This window comes from Homo sapiens, chromosome 2 (assembly GCF_000001405.40).
Source record: "Homo sapiens chromosome 2, GRCh38.p14 Primary Assembly".
NCBI lineage: Eukaryota > Metazoa > Chordata > Mammalia > Primates > Hominidae > Homo > Homo sapiens.
In genome coordinates, this window is record NC_000002.12 from 6,676,065 (window position 1) to 6,680,908 (window position 4,844).

A 4,844-nucleotide genomic window follows, 5' to 3' on the forward strand; every position below is an offset into this window, starting at 1 on the left:
AACTTCTAAAGTGACAACTGGGCAAGCGGTATGACTTGGAGAAACTGGATATTTCCTCCCTTTTCTAAGAAGAGTCTCAACGGTATCTGCAAGCAGCTTTGAAGAAAGAGCACATAGAAATACAAAGTCCGGAATTCTGTTTAACAAGGATAATAAAATAATAATGATAAAACCTAGATATAAAAGGTATTTATTCATACTATTCTAGGAAAAAGAAAATATGTCATAAACTTGGAGATAAAATTTGAATTATGTTGCAACACGTGGAGAGGGTGAGAGCTTACATACACTGAGGATTCCTAAAGCCAGGCATGTAGAACAGTCAGCAATCTGACACAGATACCACAGCCCAATTGAGTGAATAAAGACAATTAGGACTCAGGGAAGAAGTTCCCACAAGTCACTCACATGGTTAGCAGCTGAGTCAAAGTTTTAACCTAGGACACCTCAACTGCAGGGTTCATGTTCTTCCCATTGCTTAGATCACTTAAGCTGTAGCATGATGTTCTCTTTACCTGTCTCTGAATTAGGTTGGGCTTATCTATTTTAACCCCAGTCCCTGACATATATTAGGTATTCAATACATTTTTGTTAAAGGATTGAATGAATGGGTGCAGCATTATTTATTGAACTATACATTTGCATTTGTGATCGTCTATTTTCAACTTTTACCCCCACATTCTAAGCAGGAAAACACACTTTAATCTCTCTAGCTTTCTCCTTAGAAGTCTCTGGAAGGGGAATTCCCCTAAATATTACTTACTGTTTGTGCTCTCTGTTTTTCCACTCCATTCCAAGTAGAGAGCTGGCCTTTGTGCTCCATTGCCTGAAATTAGGCTGGAAAAACAGGAAGAGAAGTGAGAGCTCTTGCAGGCAGCAGGAGAGAGAGGAAAGGATTCTCAGACTTTGGAAGGGGTGTAGATACAGGATCCTGTGAGTCACTGGGCCCTGTGGTTGGCTTTGCCTTCATAAGCCAGAGAAGTACTAGAGTTTCTATCCCAAGATAGAAAGGATAGGGTACTCTGAAGGTAGCTGCATCTGGACATAAGGGTTCTTCTCCTCAGAAATGTTTCTAAGCCCCAACCACAGCTTTGGACCCTCAAGTGGTTAATGGTAACCATAGTGGACCACAGATCAGAGGTCCCTCCAACATTGTATGGTTTCCATGTAAGCTTCCTCTGTTCTTGTGCAATCCAAAGAAAGAAGAAGAACCCCCATAACCCCTAAGATTCAATCCAGAAGCACTGGGTCTCAGAGTTACAACAAACTTGAGGAAAGTAAATATAGTAAAATGACGGCTCTGAATTTCAAAGATTCAATTTCACCATGCTTAAATGTATTATGGGGAATCAACTTGGTATCTCAGAAAGGAAGGTGAAAGAGGAGGGCCTTTGAGGACTAAACATGTAATGGGAAGAGGAACAATGTACAGTGTTGGCTCAGAAGCATTGCTTTTCCCTGACTTCCACAGTGGTGAAAAGAACTCATGGCCAGCTCCCTCATCCCTCCTGAAAAGGGGGCTGGGCCTCCAAGGAAAGGACAGCTCGGCATAATCAGGCAGGTCAGACCCAGGCCTAGGGGCTCAAGGTCTCAGCGAAGACTCAGGTGCCTTAAGTGGTATAAATATGTTGGTGCTTCCAAGCTCAAGGGGTCATGGACTCTTGGACCAAAAGCATCTCAGTGGTGCCTGGAGATGAGGTCCGTAGAGGACTTCCAGAATCATGGGCATCATGTGGTCCCTGAGACCTCTGCACTATTGGGGGTGGAGCCCAGTCAAGCTGTTTCATGTGTCCATCATCTTCCTATCATGGAGACTTGGAGTCTGATTTAATTCGATTTGAAATATATATATATATATATTTATATATAGTAACAAGACATTTGAAATATATATATGTGTGTATATATATATATATATATATATATATATATATATATATAGTAACAAGACATTTCTTGCACAACCTATGTGATAAATCAAGATTAATTCCTGCTGTAATTCAGTAAAATATTAGATTTGCAGTAGAGGCCCATAACTGCAATAACAAATTTTTTATGCCCATAGAAAATATTTATGGGGGTACTTTACAGTTTACAAAGGAAGTACCACGTGTTATAGGAAGAGGTGTTCCGAGGTTTCGCAGGGGAGGGTTATAATCTATAACTGATGCTCTAGAACAGTCTTGGACTACAGTATAAGATTAAAAACAAAAAACAAATTTCAAGTTATGTTTGTATTTTTAAGCTCTGCAATAAACCATCCCAGATGTGTCACAGTGTTTCTAAAATTTGAATAATAGAAAGATCCCTTATAAAGGAAAGAAATTCTCTACACCCTGCAGAATACATTCATGGAACCCTGGAGTTCATGGTCTCATGAAACCAGTCCAATTACAGGAACATACTTCCTCACTAAGAATTATGACAAGAAGGATCTATTATCTTTCTAACTGCCAAAACTTTTGTTAAGATTATTAAAGTGTGTGTGTGTGTGTGTGTGTGTGTGTGTGTGTGTGTGTGGTGTGTATTCCAAGGAAAGGCGTCATCTCTTGATTTTACATCTACAGATTCCAGAGGATCTGTGCTCCTTAATTTGAGAGTCCTGTTCTCAACTGTGGATGAGAACTCCACATTCACAGCACTCACAGAATTTAGACAGAAGGACCTTTCTATAGCCACAGCCTCTGAGTTATAGTGATAGCCCTCGTGGGTGCCGGCGGGGGCTGCAGGTATTATGACCTGGGCAGCTTTCTGCCTAGCTAGTCCTCGTTCATCACCCATTTCTGTTAATCCTGACAAGATACTTGCTAACAAGGAAGAGGAGAGGGAGAGAGGGCATGTTGAAAGTAGACTCTGTCATTACCAGTAAAGCAGCCACACATCAAATCACGGGAGGGGATAAGTCATTTAATTATAGAACTACAAAGAGAACCCAGAGTTGCAAGGATTGAATGCAAATCTTCATGGAGAAATTATTTTATTTCTGGAGTTTCAGTCTCCTCCTTTGTAAGGTGAGCAGGTGGTGAGGTGTCTGTGAAGGCTCATTTCCAGTGTCTTTCTATAACAAATATTTGTTCCTTGTTCCATGTTTTAAAAAGCACTTTTACATTTATTCTTATTCAATCTTCATAACAACTAAAGATTATAGTCTCTGTTTTATTGATGAGGAAAGCAATCTTCAGAGAATTTAGATCAAGAGCTAATAAGGGATGGATTGGTGCTATATTGTAGGTCTCTAGGATCTCAAATCCCACCCTTTTCTCTTACAGAGTAGGGTTTTGGGGTCTTAGGCTTCACAGGAGCTGTGCCTTTGGAAATCAAGACTGGGAAGAAAGGGTGACAGAAAAAATGTTAGGGAATATTTCCCTGGGGCTCCTTAGATGTATTGATTCCTCTTTGTAAATCTACCTGGTTTCTCGATCTCTGTTGTTATTTCTGATCTGGGCCTCTCAACGGTTTAAACCAAAGGGATTATTCAAAACACAGTAGGAAATTCAGGAGCTTTTTCATGCCTCTGTTCTATTCATTCAGTACATTCACTTGTCCTAGTCATTCTAATCTCTACTATTGTACCCTAGATCTCCCAGGTTGCCAGCCTTGACCTAGCCAGGCTGCAGAAATGTGAGCCTGTGCTGGAGAATGGGGATCCTGTTTCAGTGACAGCCAGCTCATTTTTCAACTGTGAGATTTCATTAGGATAGGGACCAAGCTGACTGCAAGTGATGCTGTTTGCCTGCAACCATCTCTCAATACCCCACAGTAGGTGATTATATAAACCTATTGAGGGGTAAGCCTCAGATCACATGAATATAGATTAGAAGAACAAGATACAGCATAATCTGATTCCATCTAAACTGGCTTGCAAAACCCCATGAAGTCATCCTTACTGAGGATTCTTATTTTCAACAATGTTTTCTTATAGTGCATGAAAACCAGCCAGACATGTGAGGCTAAACCAAACATTGTTTTCTATGGATTTAGCTCCCACTAGCCTTGGATTAAAAAAAAGAAGAAAGATTTGATGAGCCCAGTATGGTTGTATTTTACCCCAACTAAAGCCACAACGAGGTGACAGAATCTGGTTTTCATTTAAGCTGAAATCCTATAAAATAATAATAATAATAATAATGCATCCAAGCACTGTCAGCATTGTTTAACAATTCTCTGAGAAGTTTCTTCCCCTCCCCAAAATACTGGCAAGAAATGTCTTCTCTGTTGAAGGAGCTGGAAACCCATTCAACTCTCTCTATGCTATCAAGTTGTTGCTTAATAAGGAGTGCAGTAAGAGAACTTGCATCTCTGTCACATCAGTACCCTGGAAACCACAGTCAAGAAACATCTCACAGAATGACTCCACCATGACAGAAACAACCAAGAGGACTAGCAATTTCTCTGACTCCAGTGCCAAAATCCCACTGCCAGGAAGAGTGAAGTCAGTCATACAATATGCACAATCACTGTTTCCTGACAAAAAGGATCCCATTTCTTCTAAACTCTGTGTGAGGTGGTAAGGAGGAGAGATGGGAAGGAGTGGACACTTTGGTCTCTGTTCCACACCATATTGCTGGTTGAGATTTATTTTTAAGAGAAAAAATATTGTTTCATATATTTCATTATGTCACATATTTTGATATCCTGTAATTACAAAACATGATAACAGCCCTTTGTTTATACTGAAATTATCATGATCTGGGGTCCTCTGGTGAATAGGTTGAAATTTATTCAAATTTAAAGAACCCCTATATCTCTACTAGAAAAAATAAATTAATTTTTTTAAAAAATGTTTTTTCCAAAAAGAAACAAAATACCAAACAATACCAAGTGTTGACAAGGATATAAAGCAA